This window comes from Homo sapiens, chromosome 11 (assembly GCF_000001405.40).
Source record: "Homo sapiens chromosome 11, GRCh38.p14 Primary Assembly".
Lineage (NCBI taxonomy): Eukaryota > Metazoa > Chordata > Mammalia > Primates > Hominidae > Homo > Homo sapiens.
The window spans coordinates 33,081,085-33,100,585 of record NC_000011.10 but is presented as its reverse complement, the minus strand read 5'-3'; the positions used below and the strand labels follow the sequence as shown (position 1 = coordinate 33,100,585).

Genomic DNA, 19,501 nt, shown 5'->3' with positions numbered 1-19,501 from the left:
TTGAATATAGGAAGTCTTACTCACTGGTATATTCACCGTGCCTTCCACATTCCCTGGCATATAGTTGGTGCTCAATAAGTATTAACTTAGGCTGGGTGCAGTGGCTCACATCTGTAATCCCAGCACTTTGGGAGGCTGAGGCAGGAGGATTGCTTGAGCCCAGGGGTTCAAGACAAGCCTTGGCAACATGGTGAAACCCCGTCTCTAAACAAGATTTTTTTTTTTTTTTTTGAGATGGAGTCTTGCTCTGTTGCCCAGGCTGGAGTGCAGTGGCGTGATCTCCACTCACTGCAAGCTGTGCCTCCCGGGTTCATGCCATTCTCCTGCCTCAGCCTCCAGAGTAGCTGGGGCTACAGGCACCCACCACCATGCCTGGCTAATTTTTTGTATTTCAGTAGAGACAGGGTTTCACCATGTTAGCCAGGATGGTCTCGATCTCCTGACCTTATGATCCGCCTGCCTTGGCCTCCCAGAGTGCTGGGATTACAGATGTGAGCCACCGCACCTGGCCACAAGATTTTTAAAAATAAGCCAGATGTGGTGGCACACGCCTGGTCTCAGCTACTTGGGAGGCTGAGGCAGGAAAACCACTTGAGCCCAGGAGGTCGAGGCTGCAGTGAACCATATTTGTGCCACTGCACTCCAGCCTACGTGACAGAGACCCTGCTTCCAAAAATAAAAAAAATTAATAAGTGATGGATAGATGGAGGGAACTTGGATGGATGATGGTGCCAGAAATCACTAAAGCTTTTTATTTCTAATTATCATTAATTTTTGAGGAGCCTAATTTGGTTATGATATTTACATTGATAGTTTTACAAATAATAATTATTTTAATTGAATATTGTTTGTTAATTTCTTCCCTTAGTTATGTTTGCTTATGAACAGTGCCTGCTTGTGCTGGGCCATCACCCTGATATTTGGTATGAAGCTGCCCAGTATCTTGAGCAGTCAAGTAAACTGCTCGCAGAAAAGGGAGTAAGTGTTCCTTCCCTATCCCCACTTTGATATTTTTGTGGTTTTGATATAGCAATTATTTACTGAAAAATATAACTGAATTTTGGTAATAAAGCATAAGTATTGAAAATTTAAGTTTACGTTCATATGAATCTTAGTGACACTCATATAATTAGACCTCCTTAGAATTAAAATAAACTGGCAGTTTTTTAACGTATCAAAGTAATGAATCATTTAGAGTACTTGCATGGTTATTTTGTAAGTTAAAATAATGAAAGGAGTTTTTGGAATTTTTTTAGAATCCAGAAATGCATATGTGTTTATGTATGTGTGTGTGTGGATACATATATATGTGTGTACATACATGTATGCTTTCTTAGACACATAAATAAAATAAAGTAGATGTAACTTTATTAATTTTATTCTCTCACAACTATATTAAAATTATTGAAGATGAGCTTTCTTTTTTTTCTACCAGGATATGAATAATGCCAAATTATTTAGTGATGAAGCTGCTAATATATATGAAAGAGCCATAAGCACTTTATTGAAGAAGAATATGCTTCTTTATTTTGCATATGCAGATTATGAAGAGGTAAGTAAAAATGTTTAGAGCCTTCTTATAATTCAATTTTTTAGTGCAGGACTGAACTTTTTTTCTGGCTGCTTGTTTGCCAGGCATATTGCTTTTGGTAGACAGAGATGATGCCAAATGAACAGTTATTAGTTGTCAGCTTATACTATATTTATGCTCAATGGAGATGCCATTGGGGGTGGGAGGTTATAGCCTTTGGATTCCTTGGAGCTCAAATCCTGCTTATTTATGACCATATGTTGATACTCACTTCTTCTGTACCACCTTAGAGTCGCATGAAGTATGAAAAGGTTCACAGTATATATAACAGACTTCTGGCAATTGAGGATATTGACCCTACCTTGGTGAGTAACTTTACAAATCTTTTTTTCCACCTTTACAGTCTTATCTAACAAAAAATAATTTAAATTTATATACAATAAAATTCACTGTTTTTGTTGTATAGTTCTATTAATCTTGACAAATAACATTGAGTATGGGATCCCCACCACAATTAAGATAGAAAACACCTCCACCATCCTCCAAAAATTCCCCCATGTGACCCCTTTGTAGATATAACCCTTCCCTCTGCCCTTACCTCTGACAATTACTGATCTGTTTTCTGCTAGAATTTTTTCTTTTTAATGCAGCAGTATAAAATAGATACAGAGGCACTTTCTCTAACACTTTCTTTGTGATCATGGTTTGAAGTCACTTTATGCCACAGAATTGTTGCTTAATAGATATTTCTTTTTAAATGAGGCGGGAGAAACCGACATCCTGGGAAGAAATTAGACTGAAACTCACTTTATGCTAAATCCTGCTCTATCATAGTGGTTTTCAAAGCCCCAAGTGCAAAAGTGCAGTGATGCTCTCCCATTGGGAGAGGAAGGGGACAGGCTTGTGGGTGTGTCTCTAGAACCTCTGCCTCAAGTCAATTATAGCTACACTACTTTTTCTTGTTAATGATTTATATTGGGATTCCACTGCTATAATTCCTACATTTATTCATCATCTTATAATTCATTCCACAAACATATCTGGCAAATATATTGCTAGAGTCTATGCATTGTGCTAGACTCCAGCAACATTAATGACAAACTAGATGAAATTCCTTTTCTTGAGGAACTCATAGTCCATCCATCCATCCATCAAAACTGGGTAATATAGCTAGACATTATCAATACTGGGCAAACCAGGACCCTACTAATTAGTCATTTGTTCACTAAACAAAACTGCATACTCATGATGTACTGGACACTCTGTAGGTGCTAGGTATAAAATGGCTCATAGTTTATCCATGAAGTTCTATTATATGTTGTTCGGAAAATAGAGTAGTGGGCTTTTAAAAAGAAACCAAGAAAATGTGAAGTTAAACATGTATTGCAGGCTGGGCGCGGTAGCTCACACCTGTAATCCCAGCACTTTGGGAGGTCGAGGCAGGCAGATCACGAGGTCAGGAGATTGAGACCAGCCTGGCTAAAATGGTGAAACCCCATCTCTACTAAAAAACAAAAATTAGCCGGGTGTGGTGGCGTGTGCCTGTAGTCCCAGCTACTTGGGAGCCTGAGGCAGGAGAATGGCTTGACCCCAGGAGACAGAGGTTGCAGTGAGCCAAGATCGCACCACTGCACTCCAGCCTGGGCAACAGAGCGAGACTCCGTCTCAAAAAAAAAAACATGTATTGTAAGACGTGCTTGTATTAAACCAACCCTTGAGTTTTTTAGATATTGACATTCATTAATGGAGTATGTTCTAGTAGTGTCACACTTTTCACTCTTAAACTTTAATTTACATATTCTAGAATTAGATAATGGTGATGATTGCACAACCTTGTGAATATATTTAAAACCACTGAATTGTAAAGGGTGAATTTTGTGCTATGTGAATTATGTCTCAATAAAAAAATAAATTAATTTGCATGCATCTCTAATACCAGAAAAAAATTAGTTTGTGGATTTAAATAGAATATTATCTAAATTCCTACTTTCTAATTTATTGGGTATTGAGGATTGCTTTCTTATGCAGGAAACATACTGTCTAATTTATAGAACACAAATACTTTCTTTTGCATAGGTATATATCCAATATATGAAATTTGCACGGAGAGCAGAAGGCATCAAATCTGGAAGAATGATATTTAAAAAAGCAAGAGAAGATACCAGAACCCGCCACCATGTCTATGTTACTGCAGCACTCATGGAATATTACTGTAGTAAGGTAAATACTGAAATACAAGTGTAAAGATAAAACAACTTCCTTCATCTGAGGTTCGTAAAAGAAAGGTGATTTTAGCTTCTGTCATTAAGCTTTTATTGCTCCATTTTGTAAAGGCAGTCTAAGTGTATCTGTGTAAAATTTTATGGAGCATCATCCAAATCCCCAACTACTTGCTAATTTATGCTTCATTAATCACTATATTTCTAATTTGTGCTTTATTAATCACTATATTAATCACTATTTCGTGATTTCTAATCACTAAACTCCTTTGAATAGTTTCTAGCTCAGCAATTTTTACTTAACATGATTTTAATTTGTTTTAATTCTTACATATTTTGTCATATGTAGGTATAATTTTAATATTCTTTCAAGTGTTTTTTATCTGACATTTCATGGAAATCTGTACTTTACTTTCTTTACTTGTAGGACAAATCTGTTGCCTTTAAGATTTTTGAGCTGGGGCTAAAAAAATATGGAGACATTCCAGAGTATGTCCTGGCCTATATTGACTATCTTTCTCACCTCAATGGTAGGTTGATTCTAGAATCTATAATGATTACTTAATATTAAACCATGTGGAATTATGTTGCTAGATTTCTTCCTTCTTGAATGTATTATAATTTTGACATAGCAGACAGGCACTTGTTAGGCACTCAAGAAATACTTGTGGTATATCAACCATGAATATATTTACTGAGCAATGGTAGATGTTTTTTGACTCTGCAGAACTGTCTTTATTCAGTAAAGTACCATCAGTAGTGGGATAAAGCTTCAGAGTCAGAGTCAGGAGACACAGAGTTGTTTATATTCATCTCTGATGACTCTGGGCAGATCATCTCCTGTTTCCTGGAAGGAAAACAAACAAACAAAAAACCCTCTAGCCACCAAAACTCAAACTCAAAAGATGCCCAAATAGTAAAGTAAAACACTTTGAGGATACTGGGGAAAAGATTCAAAAAGAAACATTTTGGTTTTTAGTATTTATTTATTTATTTATTTATTTATTTATTTATTTGAGACAGAGTCTCGCTGTCGCCCAGGCTGGAGTGCAGTGGCGCAATCTCGGCTCACTGCAGGCTCCGCCCCCTGGGGTTCACGCCATTCTCCTGCCTCAGCCTCCGGAGTAGCTGGGACTACAGGCGCCCGCCACCTCGCCCGGCTAATTTTTTGTATTTTTAGTAGAGACAGGGTTTCACCGTGTTAGCCAGGATGGTCTCGATCTCCTGACCTCGTGATCCGCCCGCCTCGGCCTCCCAAAGTGCTGGGATTACAGGCGTGAGCCACCGCGCCCGGCCGGTTTTTAGTATTTATTTCCCTATTCTGTTGTACGAATAACACTGGCCATCCTTTATTGAGTTCCTACCAGGCACTGTGCTAGATAATTCATATATGTATATCATTTAGTCTAGTTAACAACAGTGCACAATATGTAATTTCTTAACAAAAAAAGATGTAGTATAAAAGTTGGTTTTTTAGCTAGGTGTGGTGGCGTATGCCTGTAGTCTCAGATACTTGGATCACTTGAGCCCAGGAATTGGAGGTCACAGTGAGCTGTGATCACGCCACTGTACTCCATCTAGCCTGGATGACAGAGCAAGACCCTGTCTCTAAAAAACATTTAAAAATAAATGAATAGGCCGGGCGTGGTGGCTTATGCCTGTAATCCCAGCACTTTGGGAAGCCGAGGCAGGCAGATCACCCAAGGCCAGGAGTTTGAGACTAGCCTGGCCAACACGGCGAAACCCTGTCTCTACTAAAAATATAAAAAATTAGCTGGGCGTGGTGGCAGGCGCCTGTAATCCCAGCTACTGGGGAGGCTGAGGCAGGAGAATCGCTTGAACCCTGGAGGGGGAGGCTGCGGTGAGCCGAGATTGCGCCATTGTACTCCAGCCTGGGCAACAAGAGCGAAACTCTGCCTCAAAAAAATAATAATAATAAAGTAAATAAATAAATATAAATAAATACATCACTAAAAGTTGGCTTAAGAAAGAAATATGCAATTATATGTCATGTAAATGATTATAGAATTAGATATCATAGGTATAAATCAGTAATTTTAATATTTCAGAAAAATAGAGCATTCCATTTACCTAAATAATATAAAAGAGTAAAACTTAAATATGATTTTGTATTTCAGCTTAATGATTCTACATTCTGGGAAAAAGACTTAACTCCAAAAAATGAGATAGTGGGGCATTTAATATTCCTCATAAATCTTAAATTGTTTTGCCTAATTTTTTTTTAAAATAGTTACTAGTATATGTATTTTTATTTTTTTAAAAGGAGGATATCTGGTGTTAGCACTATTGTCTTCCAAAATCAGTGTCTTAGATGATTCTTTCATTCATCTATCCATCTATCCATCCATGAAACATTTATTCATTACCTTCTGGTTACTAGAGTCTGGGAATACAAAGATGAATAGGATCCAGAAAAACGTTTTTGTGGGGGAATCCAATGTGTAAATATAATTGCATCATCATTTGATGTTTCACTGTAGCATAGTTCTGAGGTTAGGTGTATAATCTTAAACTTCAGTTTTCTCATCTGCATAATGGTCATAATAAGAATACCTTTCATAGGACTGTTGAGAGGGTAAATGAGTTTTTGCATGTGTTTCACTTATATATAGAATGTTGTGATTATTCCATAAATGTTATGATGAGGGTGGTGATCATTAAAAATGTGCTAAATACTGTAATAGATTCCTGAAGGAAGTACTATGGAAGCACAGAGAAGAGAGTATAATTTAAGTTATAGAGCTATGCTGCACAATTATGGTAGTCACTAGACTATTAGGTATTGAGCACTTGAAATGTGGATAGCCTGGGCTGGGTGTGGTGGCTCACACCTGTAATCCCAGCACTTTGGGAGGCCGAGGCAGGCAGATCACGAGGTGAGGGGTTCCAGACCAGCCTGGCCAATATGGTGAAACCCCGTCTCTACTAAAAATATAAAAACTAGCCGGGCATGGTGGCGTGCACCTGTAGTCCCAGCTACTCAGGAGGCTGAGGCGGAAGAATCGCTTGAACCTGGGAGACAGACGTTGCAGTGAGCTGATATTGCGCCACTGCACTCCAGCCTGGGTGACAGAGTGTGACTCCATCTCAAAAAAGAAAAAAGAAATGTGACTAGGCCAAAATGAGTTGTGGTGTAAGTGTGTAAATACATACCAGATTTCAAAGACTTAGTACAAAAAAAAATGTAAACTATCTTAACAATTTTTCATATTGATTACATGTGGAAATAAGATTTGGATATATTAGGTTGATTAAATATATTAATTTCACCTGTTTTTACCCATTTTATTAAATTCCATATGTGGCTTGTATTATATTGCTGATGGACAGTAGTGTTCTAGAGGGTGTCATAGAGAAGGGCACATGAGTTGGATTTTGAGAGATGAGTGGTAGTTAGCCAGGTAAAGAAAGATAAATGCATTATTCCAGGCAGAGAGCACAACACATAGGCAGGCAGTGTGAAAGTTCTGTGGAATGGTAAAAAGTGTGTCTGGAGCAAAGCTTGGGATAAAACAGAAAAAGATAAAATGTAAGATTTGTTTAACATTTTTTAAAGTATAATATGTTAAATTGAAGAGAGAAGCCAAAAAAATAGCGCCATCTTCTTTGGTCTAATATATTTAATTTCTTGGTTTTATTTTGCTTATGGACATGTAATAAACTGAATAACTACTCTCAGGCAATAAAAAACAACTCCTCTGCTGGGTTAATTTTTCTTTTGAACAGCTTTATTGAAGTATAATTTGTATACTATAAGTCCATCCATTAGGTGTACAGTTCAGTGGTTGTTAGTAGTAGATTCAATGGTTGTTGTTACTGTTAGATTCTTAAGTTTTAAAAGATAACTTAGAGTTTAGCAAGAAGTGTCATTTTCCCACTTCCAGATATAGAGGACCTCCTGAGACTCTTAAAATTTAATACACCTCTGTCAACAATTCTTAATTCATTTACATTTCCATAGTTACCTGCCAACCTAGATATTGTACCTCTGCAAGAGTTAAAGTAGCTAAATATAGCATAGTCCTGGTGCCTCAAAATAAGAAACTCAATTATTTCTAAGTTTGAGTTTGCCATCCTTCCATGTTCAATGTATTTAAAAAATAGCAGTAGTCTGACTAATGTCAGCAGATATGTACTTGTCATTATTTTTAAAAGGCAAATGGGATACCTGGTTCAGACGGCACTGTTATAAATGGTTTTGCATTAGAACTGCAGTATAGTAGAGGAGGGCTGAACTAGAAGGGAAAAAAACATGGCTTGCAGTTACTGCTCTGCTACTCAATCACCAAGAGCCAGATCAAATCTCTTAATCTTTCTGAAGCTCAAGTTTCCTCATCTATAAAAATCAAGTGTGATAATAGTTAAACCTTTCTGCATAGGATTTTTGTAAGGATGAAGTGAGATAATGCATATGAAAATATTGTTGCATCGTAAAAGTGAATTAAAAAAATTAAAATCTTTTTCAATATCCTAGAGGACAATAATACCCGAGTTTTGTTTGAACGAGTTTTAACATCTGGAAGCCTTCCTCCTGAGAAGTCTGGGTAAGCCATTGTGAAAAGTTGTTGATCAGGTTCTAAAGACAGCTTTCTTACCTGAATTGTGGTCTATGGGGTGAATGTTTGCTTGAGTATGAGTTTCAAGAGAAATTTCCTTTCCTTCTCAAGTTTTATTTTACCTATCAGCAGTACTTTTATACCTGTTTAAAATTATTTTTAAATTTCTGCACAGTGATTAGAATTGTTTTTAAGAGATGCCATAGCAATTTATTATCATCTTTCTTGTATACTATATATCCCTAACCAGAAATTGTGGCTCATGTCTGTAATCCCAGCATTTTGGGAGGCCAAGGTGGAAAGATGACTTTAGCCCAGGAGTTTGAGACCAGCCTGGGCAACATAGTGAGACCCAATCTATACAAAAAATGTTAAAAATTAGCTGGGTGTGGTGGTGCATGCCTGTAGTCCCAGATACTGGGAGGCGGAGGTGGGAGCTGGAGGACTGCTTGAGCCCAGGAGGTTGAGGCTCCAGTGAGCTGTGATCACACCTCTGCACTCCAGCCTGGGTGACAGAGTGAGACTCTGTCTCAACAACAACAAAAAAGATACCTCTCTCTCTCTCCCTAGAAATTGATATTAACATGTTAAGAGAGGCATTCTGAAATTTTCACCTCCCTTACTCAAAAGCAAAGACTCTTGTAAATTCAAAGTTTGTTTTACATATTATGTCTCTGACTTACGGTTTTGTCTCGTGTTAGTTTTACCATACAGAGGAACAACACTGTCAAGTGGTACAGCGGAAATATTATAGTAAGGCTTTGGAGTCTTGGGTTCAATATCCAGCTAGATGGCAAATTTCATAGCTATACCAATCTTCACTTTCTTATTAACAATAATGTCCACCAGTGTAGGATTTTTTGTGATAGCCACATATCTGGTATATAAGAGGCACTTAATATATTACTTTAGTACAAAGGTGCATAATGACATTTAAGTAGTCTCAGAGCATTAATTTTAGCTGTTAGAACAACGATGAGGCACCAGTTTTTCCCCAGTGATCCACGTTAATGGGAAACAATAGCGTAATCATATTAGATTTTGGAGTATATTTCTATTCATATATTAGATGAAGAATGTATTCTACATTATAATTCCTGCCACTTAAAATGAAGCCACATTATTCAGGAGAAATTAGAAATCTGTCTAGGTTCCTTTTCCAACTTCTCCACCTAGAGTTTATCCTCTCTAAGGTAAGTCTCATGTTGACCACAAAGAAGCAGCAGCTATACTAAATAAGTAAAAACTCAAAAATGGGCTTAAATACTGAAGTGATAGGTTTATAATTTACTTTGAAATACTTAAGCAAAAATAAGATGAAGCAAATATGGCAAAATATTAGCAATATAGGTAGTGGTATATAGGTATTCATTATACTATTCTATTTTTCTATAGTCTAAAAATCTTTATAATAAAAAGTCACTTTTTATAAGTTAAGGGAAAAAGAGAGAGCTTAAGGCGTTTTTGTAAATGAACTCCCTGCCCTAAACCCAGAATAATTAAAGTATTGATTGTATTTCTTTTCTTGCAGAGAAATCTGGGCCCGATTTCTAGCATTTGAAAGTAATATTGGTGATCTAGCTAGTATACTCAAAGTGGAGAAAAGACGGTTTACAGCATTCAAAGAAGAGTATGAAGGGAAAGAAACGGCTTTACTAGTAGATAGATACAAGTTCATGGATTTATATCCTTGCTCTGCAAGTGAATTAAAAGCACTTGGTTATAAGGTATGTACTTAGGATCAAGATGTGGAGTGTCCTCACTTTTCCAGTGTTTTAGAAGAGTTCATTGATAACCTGCACTCTAAATTCTGAAATGTGAATCTAGTTTTAGAATAGATTTGCAGGAAGCAAGAAAAAAGTTCAAAGATTTTCCTTGGGTTTAGGAAATCCTGAGTGTCAAAGTAGCTGAACAAAATGAGAATTGAAATGGGATTTAATAGTTTCATTCTGTCCCTGAAATTGTCAGTGCCTTATATCTTATATCTGGTGGGCAAGATGGAGGGAGTGTGGAGGGAAGAAAAACAAAAGAAAATCTGAATGTCATCTTAGGTATTACTTTTTTTTCCTAATAGTTCTTATCAAATTGATAAATATGTTTTGACAGATCTTAAACCAAATGTAGTTCCTGTTGCATATTTTGTAAGATATAATGAAGAAATATTACAGCTTGTTAAATCCATAAAGTTCCTTGAGGGATTTGTATTCTTAAAACAGTGCTCCTTCAGTGGCCTTTGGGGGAATTAGCTCATCTATGAATAGAACTCTTCTATACAGACTACTGAGTCATAAGAAAACAAATCTGGCACCTGAACCTGTTCAGGCCACAGGGAGAGATTAATATTTACAAAGCCCCAGTAACAGCCCTTGCTGATAAAACCACTGTTATATCATCTCTTAATCTTTCTGTGACATGTGAACAAAGACTAAGATGGAAATTCACAGAGAAGTCCTTGGTTGATCTCTTTAAGCCAACCACCATTAGGATGTTCCTGACCATCATTCTCCTTTTCCTCACTGCCCTCTTTTAGCCTGGGTCTTGCTCTGTCTGATCCAGATAAAATATTTTGAGAAAAAACTACCCATAATTGATATTCAGACATTTTTGTTAATGGAAGCCCTATTTCTGTGCCAGATGCAGATTCCTGGTATGAACCATAGGATTACTGCTCAGGGATAAGTAGTTTCTGCTTCTAGTTTTAACTACTTCTCAATGAAAAGTCAAAGATAGTTTAAGACTACAGTAAATCCTCATTTAACATCATTGATAGGTTCTTAGAAACTTTGACTTTAAGCTAAATGATACACAGCGGGTCCTCAAATAACTTTTTTGTGTTTAACATGGTTTTGTTATAACCTTGATAAGAAAAAAATTGGTTTTCCTATACATCGTTTCTGTCTTTTTTTTTTTTTTTGAGATGGTCTCACTCTGTTGCCCAGGCTGGAGTGCAATGGTGAGATCATGGCTCACTGCAGCCTTGATCTCCCTGGGCTCAGGTGATCTCCTGTTCAGCCTCCCAAGTAGTTGGGATTACAGGCAAATGCCACCACATCTGGCTAATTTGTGTATTTTTTTGTGGAGATGGGGTTTCACCATGTTGCCCAGGCTGGCCTCAAACTCCTAGGCTCAAGGAATCCACTTGCCTTGGCCTCCCAAAGTGCTGGGATTACAGGCAGCAGCCAACACGCCTAGCCCATCATTTCTCTAAAAGTTGCAGTTTCCTAGAACCTATACAATGTTAAGTGAGGGACTTACTGTACTTTGTGCAATTGCTAGAAAAAGCTATTTCAACTTTTCCAAGATGAAAATGAAAATTAAGGCAGTTAATTAAAATAAAGATCTGCCAGGCACAGTGGCTCACGCCTATAATCCCAACACTTTGGGAGGCTGAGGCAGGCGATCACTTGAGCCCAGGAGTTCAAGACCAGCCTGGGAAACATGATGAAATCCCATCTCTACCAAAAAAAGAGAGAAAAATACAAAAATTAGCCAGGTGTGGTGGCGCCTGCCTGTGGTCCCAGCTATTCGGGAGGCCAAGGTGAGCCCAGGAGGGAAGCTGAGCCTACTTTAGTGAGCCGTGATCAAGCCACTGCACTCCTGACTGGGTGACAGAGTGAGACCCTGTCTTAAAAAAATAAAATAAAAAATAAAAATAAACAGAAAAGAAAGATCTTATAGTGGCCAGGTGTGGTGGCTCACACCTGTAATCCCAGCACTTTGGGAGGCCAAGGTGGGTGGATCACCTGAGGTCAGGAGTTTGAGACCAGCCTGGCCAACATGGTGAAACCCCGTCTCTACTAAAATACAAAAATTGGCCGGGCTTGGTGGCGGGCATCTGTAATCCCAGCTACTCAGGAGGCTGAGGCAGGAGAATTGCTTGAACCCAGGAGGTTGTAGTGAGCCAAGATAGCACCACTGTACTCCAGCCTGGGTGACAGAGTGAGACTCTGTCTCAAAAAAAAAAAAAAAGAGAGTAAGTATTCAGGAGTAGAACTACTTCCTGAATATGATGTTTTCCATCTTGTATTTCTATTTCTACTCTTTTGTTTTTTGGGGAAGGATTAATGTGCTTCTGTGTTTAACGGTGGGTGGTATGGTATGTATGTATCTGTGAGAAAGATTTTTAAAAAGCGATACCCAATGTGTCTACCATTTAGATTTGCTTATATAATTAATACCAGATGTCACCAACTCCATTTCAACAAATTTTGAGAAAGTGGAATGCTTTTATATCCCTTGATGGCGGCAAAAAGGGGTTCTTTTGTTTCTAGACAGACAGAGTAACACTGGGTTGTCTGGAGCAGAGGAGCTCCTCTGAGATAGGGCCTCTGTTCATAGGTGACTGTATTGCTTCCTTTGGCATATCTTGTCTCAGCCCTGGCAGGGCAATGCTAGTGTACTGAAAAGAAGACTGTGGATGGATTTGAGGTCAGAGAGGCCTGCCCTCCCAATCCTCCTCTCTCTACTTCTTATTAGCTGTGTGACCTGGGAAATATCAAAACCTTTGTGAGCTTCAGTCCCTTCTATATAATGGAGATGTTACTATTTCCCTCATTAAAAACAGAATGGCTAAAATTGCCTGATGAATAGTGTCTGCTCAGTAAATATTCCTTGTCCCCTGTAATAAATAGTACATTGGAAATAATTTTTCATTGCATTAGCAAAATCTTAACCGGTGTGATGCCTTCACAAAACAGGAAGTCACTTAATCCAGCTTCTTCATTTAATGAAACTGGTGTTCAATTCTAATGGAAGGGAGGTGTCAGAAGATCTAAAATCTTGAATTTTCCTCCAAATTATCCTGGCCTCTACTTGGTTCCCAGTCTGACTACCCAAAAAAGCTTGTATCTGTCCTACAAATGTCCTGCCTGGCAACACTAAGTTTAATGACTTGTAACTTGTGTGGGGTAAAGTTATGATACACTGAGTCTTAGAACCAAATAGCTTTCCTTGTTGAGTAACAATCTTTACCATCATTAGAGTCCTTGCTTATCCGTCTCCATTTTCTTTCTGTGGTTTTGACCCAGATATTCACACTGTATCCTCAAGGTTATTGCATGATTATTCTCTAGTAGTCCCTTTTTCAGGTTTAGGATTCTTCTGTTCTGCATTTTCAGGATGTCTCCCGTGCTAAGCTAGCAGCTATAATTCCGGACCCAGTTGTAGCTCCTTCTATAGTGCCTGTTCTGAAAGATGAAGTGGATAGAAAACCAGAATACCCTAAACCAGACACTCAGCAGATGATTCCATTTCAGCCACGACATTTAGCACGTAAGCCATGACTTTAGATCCAGTACTGAGACGTTGGTTTGTTTGTTGATTTAAATCCAAAGCGTGGGGGTAAAGTGACATGGCCTCTCAATTGTGGGTTAATTATTAGACTTAGGATCACTATGACAAGTGATTTAGCTTTAATCTTTGAACTAGATTAACTAAGAATGTCCTAAAAACAAAACTTCAATGATCCAGATTCCAGGAACCCATTTTGGCAGTAATACTTGGTTTTCAGAAATGCTGCTATGGCCAGGTGCAGTGGTTTACACTTATAATCCTGGCACTTTGGGAGGCCAAGGCAGGTGGATCACCTGAGGTCAGGAGTTTGAGACCAGCCTGACTAACATGGTGAAACTTTGTCTTTATTAAAAATACAAAAATTTTCTGGGCCTGGTGGCATATACATGTAATCCCAGCTACTTGGGAGGCTGAGGCAGGAGAATCACTTGAACCCGGGAGGCGGAGGTTGCAGTGAGCCAAGATGGTGCCATTGCACTCCAGCCTGGGCAACAAGAGCGACACTCTGTATCAAAAAAAAAAAAGGAATGCTGCTATGTGCAGATTACCTGAACAGCTGGTGGAAACTTTCTTCACTGATAGATTTGGTTTCTTTACTTAGGAATGGGTTAGTAGCCTCTCTAGATTCTTTTTGAACAAGGCCCTTCTGATTAAATACACTGTTGAATAATTGACTTGAAACAGGATTGCTAAACAAATGACTTGTGTAACTCAGAAACACTCTTTGACAAAAACTGACTTTAGTTCAGTCCCTGGTTGTCTTACACAAAGTCACTTGTCTACTTCTCTGCCTCCCAGTGGCCACGGCATTGAGACTGCTGTCTCACCCACTTTGGTTTGGTAAAGCCCTAGAAGTATTTTCAGTGTCCAGAACAAAGCAGCAGACATGGAAGATCTTTATGTGCAAGTCACTTGATTTTAGCTCTGTGTAGAAATTCTTCCATTCCACTTGATTCATACTTTTCTTTTTCTCACAGCTCCAGGTTTACACCCTGTACCTGGTGGAGTGTTCCCAGTCCCTCCTGCAGCTGTTGTTTTAATGAAACTTCTCCCTCCTCCTATCTGTTTCCAGGTTTGTTCACTTATTTTCATGGTAGATACTGGCTCTGTGGGTCATAGTAATTGTGTATAAAGTTACTACTACTTTAACTTGTCAGATTACTGGGATTAAAATTTATTCATGTCAAAAATAGGGTCCTTTTGTACAAGTGGATGAACTGATGGAAATTTTCCGAAGATGCAAGATACCAAATAGTAAGTAACAGAAGCTCCATTTCAGAGTGTCATTCCACGTTGTTGTCTCATAGGCAGTAGAGATTATTATTCTCTGCCACTGAAGTTTTCGAAACCAGCCAGCCAATTTGAAGTGCAGTGAAACCCAGGAGTTACCCAAACCCTCTTTGGCAGAGAAAGGCTTATTCACATTGAATTCCACTAAGTAAAATGTCATAAAACTTTATCTTTTCTATTCATGTGAACATGCACTATCAGGCTTGGCTTATGAAAATTATTAGTTTTAACAGCAGCTTTTGTCTTTTTCTTTAATTATTTAGTATCAGTAGTACTATCCCATGTTTTGCTAAAATAGTAGGCTATGAAATAAAGTATCCACAGTTGAACATACATACCCTTTCATAGTGGAATATGTTTTTACGTTTTGTTGTTTTGTTTTAATAGCTGTTGAGGAAGCTGTGAGGATCATTACTGGTGGGGCCCCAGAGCTAGCTGTAGAAGGCAACGGCCCCGTGGAAAGTAATGCAGTACTCACCAAGGCCGTCAAAAGGCCCAACGAGGATTCAGATGAAGATGAAGAAAAGGGAGCCGTTGTCCCCCCTGTTCATGACATTTACAGAGCACGGCAGCAGAAGCGGATTCGGTAGGGTTTTAAACGCCTCTGCAGAAAACTCCTGTCCAGGATTCCTTTTGCCTCAAGTGGTATGTTTAAAAGAGACAACGCTTTGTTACAAGGTTCTTGGAAACAAAGTTGTATTGTCATTGGTGCCTCTATCACATGGTTCTTGAGAAAAAACAAACCAACCTGTGTGAATTTTAGAATACGGAACAGACCTATGCTCTAAGCAAAATTAGGTTTTCAAAAATGTGAGAACAGTACAAAGTGGCAGAACCACATTTTGTTCCCTCTTCAAGGGTGTCTTGTATGTGCCGCTTGAAGATTTGTGAGTTTTTCAACAGTTTTATTTTAAAAACTGGATGGCTTATGATTGTAAAGCATTTTATCACATTTTCTGAAAACAATTGTTCTTGGTTTGCTTATGTAGAGTCCTGCCTTATTGTTTGTTTTTATTTATGGCAGAATGTATGAAATCCGTTTTGTAGTTTCAAATTTTAAAAGTCCTTTAAAAAATAAAAGGATTCAGAAACATCATGCTTCCTCTGCTTCTTTCAGATTTTATTTACAATAACTACTTATGTTATTTATCCAATACCATTTAAAAATAAATGTCAGGACAAGGAAAAGTCATCTTGTATTTACTGAATGTATTAATCACATACTCTTTCCTGGTCTGTCTTTTTTGGTGCTAACTAAAAACATTTTTAAGAGGCAAATTAAACATTTTAGAAATCCTCAAATATGAATGCATTTGCTCCCCAGTAAATCTGAGGCAGATTAAGATCCTGTTAATACTTTTGTCTCTCTTGAAAGCAACCTAAGTGTGGAAATTCCTTTAACCACCTGCTGTCTTGTTCTCACATAGAGTATCTCTTATCTAAAATACTTGGGACCAGAAGTGTTCAGGATTTTGGATTTGTTCAGATTTCAGAATATTTGCATCATACTTACCAGTTCACCATCCCTAATACAAGAGTACAAATTCCACAAAACTCCACTAAGCATTTTCTTTGTGCATCATGTTGGCACCGAAAAGGTTTTGGATTTTGGAACATGTTGGATTTCAGATTTTCAGATTAGGGATACTCAACTTGTATATTTTCACAGGGGCCCAGTGCTCAAGAACATTTTTTTTTCCATGAGCTAAACATAGATAACATTAAGGAAAATGACATTTATTTAACTAAATTCTAATTACAGTGAGCAAAAACTTGTCATGCAAATTAAGTCCAAAGAACTAGACTTTGCTCTTTGGTAACAACATTACCTCCTCTTCTCATTACTAGTTAAAAACTAAAAAGCAGGAGGGAAACAAAAAGGAGGGGAGGACAAGTATTATGATTATAAAGAAATGATCTTACATATTAGAAACAATTTAGTTTAGAATTTGAATTCAGATGTGATTAAATAATCTGACATTTAAAATCAGCTTCAAATGTCCCATAAAAGTCTTACTTGTAAAAAAAGGTTATGCTGAATCATTTACTCATATAAATTTATATGTAGCAAGGTTATATAAATTGGTCAAAAGTGTGTTTAGTTTCCAGTATTTTCCCATTAAAGCTAAAAATCGCCTCTCAAAACAAAGTCAGCTGCCTCTAATTCAGACTTTCTTATCCTTTCAAGCATCACTTTCAAGTTGTGAGTTTTTTAAAAATATCAGTTACCATCAAAACTTAAGACACAAGTAGGCCAGGTGTGGTGGCTCACTCCTGTAAATCCCAACACTTTGGAAGGCCGAGGCGGGCAGATTATTTGAGGCCAGGGGTTCAAGACCAGCCTGGCCAACAAAGTGAAACCCCGTCTCTACTAAAAATACCAAAAAAATTAGCTGGGCGTGGTAGCCCAAGCCTATAATCCCAGCTACTTGGGAGGCGAAGGCAGAAGAATTGCTTGAACCTGTGAGGCAGAGGTTTCAGTGAGCCGAGGTAGCGCCACTGCACTCCAGCCTGGGTGACAGAGCAAGACGCTCTCCAAAAAAAAGACAAGTAATACCATATGGCATAGACTTTAAAATACAGAGATGTAGGCTGGGCGCGGTGGCTCTTGCCTGTAATTCCAGCCCTTTGGGAGGCTGAAGATTACTTGAGGCCAGGAGTTCGAGGCCAGCTGGCCAACATAGTGAAACCCTATCTCTACTAAAAATACCAAAAAAAAAAAAAAAAGTTAGCTGGGCATGGTAGCACAAGCCTGTAGTCCCAGCTACTCTGCAGGCTGTGGTGGGAGGATCACCTGAGCCCAGGAGGCCAAGGCTGTAGTGGGCCATGATTGCACCACTGTACTCCAGCCTGGGCGAAAGAGTGAGACCCTGCTTCAAAAAATATATAGAGGTGTAGACTTGTTCCTGAAGTGCCATTTTTGGTGGTTAGTATCGGGGGTGAGCAGCGACTATCTGGGGCTGGTGGTGTGGGGGTAAGAAGAATTTACCAAGACAATAGTAGGTAGAGAAAGGTAGATTAGAGAAGGTATGAAAATGCACTGCAAGGTTGGAACAGGCAGAGAAGATGCTTGTCTGCAAAGAGACAAAGGCTTGCTGGGGATTTTATAAGATAGTGCCATGTGCTGAAGAGGGTTTTATGTACTACTGAGAATGCCAGTGTTGCAGTGAGCTAACTTGCAGGTGTCTGGTGATAAGTTGGGTGCAGTACGGCTACATGTCCTGGACCATGAAGAAAGGCAGACTCATAATTTATCTGCTTTTCCCTGCTCCCACCAGCCTGACTCCCTTTCCCTAATTAGGACTCCACAGTTAGTGTTTTGAAGACAAACAGGCCGGGCGAGGTGGCGCACGCCTATAATCACAGCACTTTGGGAGGCCAAGGTAGGCGGATCACCTGAGGTCAGGAGTTCAAGACCAGCCTGACCAACATGGTGAAACCCTGTCTCTACTAAAAATACAAAATTAGCCAGGTATGGTGGCACATGCCTGCAATCCCAGCTACTTGGGAGGCTGAGGCAGGAGAATTGCTTGAACCTGGGAAGGAGATGTTGCAGTGAGCCGAGATCGCACCATTGCACTCCAGCCTGGGCATCAAGAGCGAAACTCCGTCTCAAAAAAAAAAAAAGAAGACAAAACAGTTTCAAATACCTGTAAGTGATCTGCCAAAGTGTTCCCACAGACAATAAAACAAAGCCATGCGAACATGTGTGAAAAACCATTTTTTAGCGTGTGTGCGCGTGCGTGCGTGCACACACGCACACACACACTTGGTGAAAAGTGTCTTTAATCACTTTATTAGTCCATTCCCACAATGCTATAAAGAAATACCTGTGACTGGGTAATTTTTAAAGAAAAGAAGCTTAACTGGCTCATGGTTCCGTAGGCTGTATAGATAGATTAGTGGCATTTGCTTCTGGAGAAGCTTCAGGAAATGTATAATCACGGCAGAAGGTGAAGGGGAAGAGGGACGTTTTACACGGCCAGGGCAGGATGAAGAAAGGGGGGAGGTGCCACACACTTTTAAACAACCAGATTCCATGAGAACTCACTGTCACAAGAACAGCACCGAGAGGATGGTGCTAACCCTTTCATGGGAACTTCACCCCCCTGGACCAACACCTCCCACCAAGCCCTACCTCCAACACTGGGGATTACAATTTGACATGAGATTTGGTGGGGACACAGATTCAAACCATATCAATTATTATTAAGGCTACTATGTATATTATAATTGTTCCTATTGCATTTATTTATAGGATTTTTTTCTCCTAGAAATGATCAGCTCTTTGAGCATAAAAAGGATTCTCATTAGAAGAAAACATTTTCGAATGTTCTAACTGCTAGAGATATGTATGAATTTTTAGTTTTTAAGGTGATTCTGCCTGATATTTGATAATTCCTTTTGTTAAACAGTTCAACAAGCAGCATGATGTTAGACATCTGAACTTACCTTTGGAAATCTAATGTGCAGACTCATGGGATAATCAGTCCTACAATTCCAAGGACTCATATCAGTATTGCTGGACCCAAAGAAATTGCCAAAAGATATCCATCTTTTTCCTGTTTATAAAAGCAATGACAGCATCTCCT

General features: G+C 38.7%; 1 protein-coding gene across 1 annotated transcript in view; it reads left to right on the top strand.

Moving 5' to 3' along the window:
* The window catches only part of CSTF3 (cleavage stimulation factor subunit 3), a 76,897-nt gene extending 60,895 nt beyond the window's left edge, over positions 1 to 16,002 (top strand). The window contains exons 11-21 of the mRNA NM_001326.3: positions 869 to 978; positions 1,436 to 1,552; positions 1,822 to 1,896; positions 3,608 to 3,751; positions 4,178 to 4,280; positions 8,246 to 8,315; positions 9,859 to 10,054; positions 13,445 to 13,598; positions 14,597 to 14,691; positions 14,813 to 14,873; positions 15,297 to 16,002. Coding sequence (NP_001317.1) covers positions 869 to 978; positions 1,436 to 1,552; positions 1,822 to 1,896; positions 3,608 to 3,751; positions 4,178 to 4,280; positions 8,246 to 8,315; positions 9,859 to 10,054; positions 13,445 to 13,598; positions 14,597 to 14,691; positions 14,813 to 14,873; positions 15,297 to 15,499 — 1,328 coding nt within the window. The 3' untranslated portion in view covers positions 15,500 to 16,002. The remainder of the gene's footprint in view (positions 1 to 868; positions 979 to 1,435; positions 1,553 to 1,821; positions 1,897 to 3,607; positions 3,752 to 4,177; positions 4,281 to 8,245; positions 8,316 to 9,858; positions 10,055 to 13,444; positions 13,599 to 14,596; positions 14,692 to 14,812; positions 14,874 to 15,296) is intronic.
* Positions 16,003 to 19,501: the final 3,499 nt, after the last annotated feature.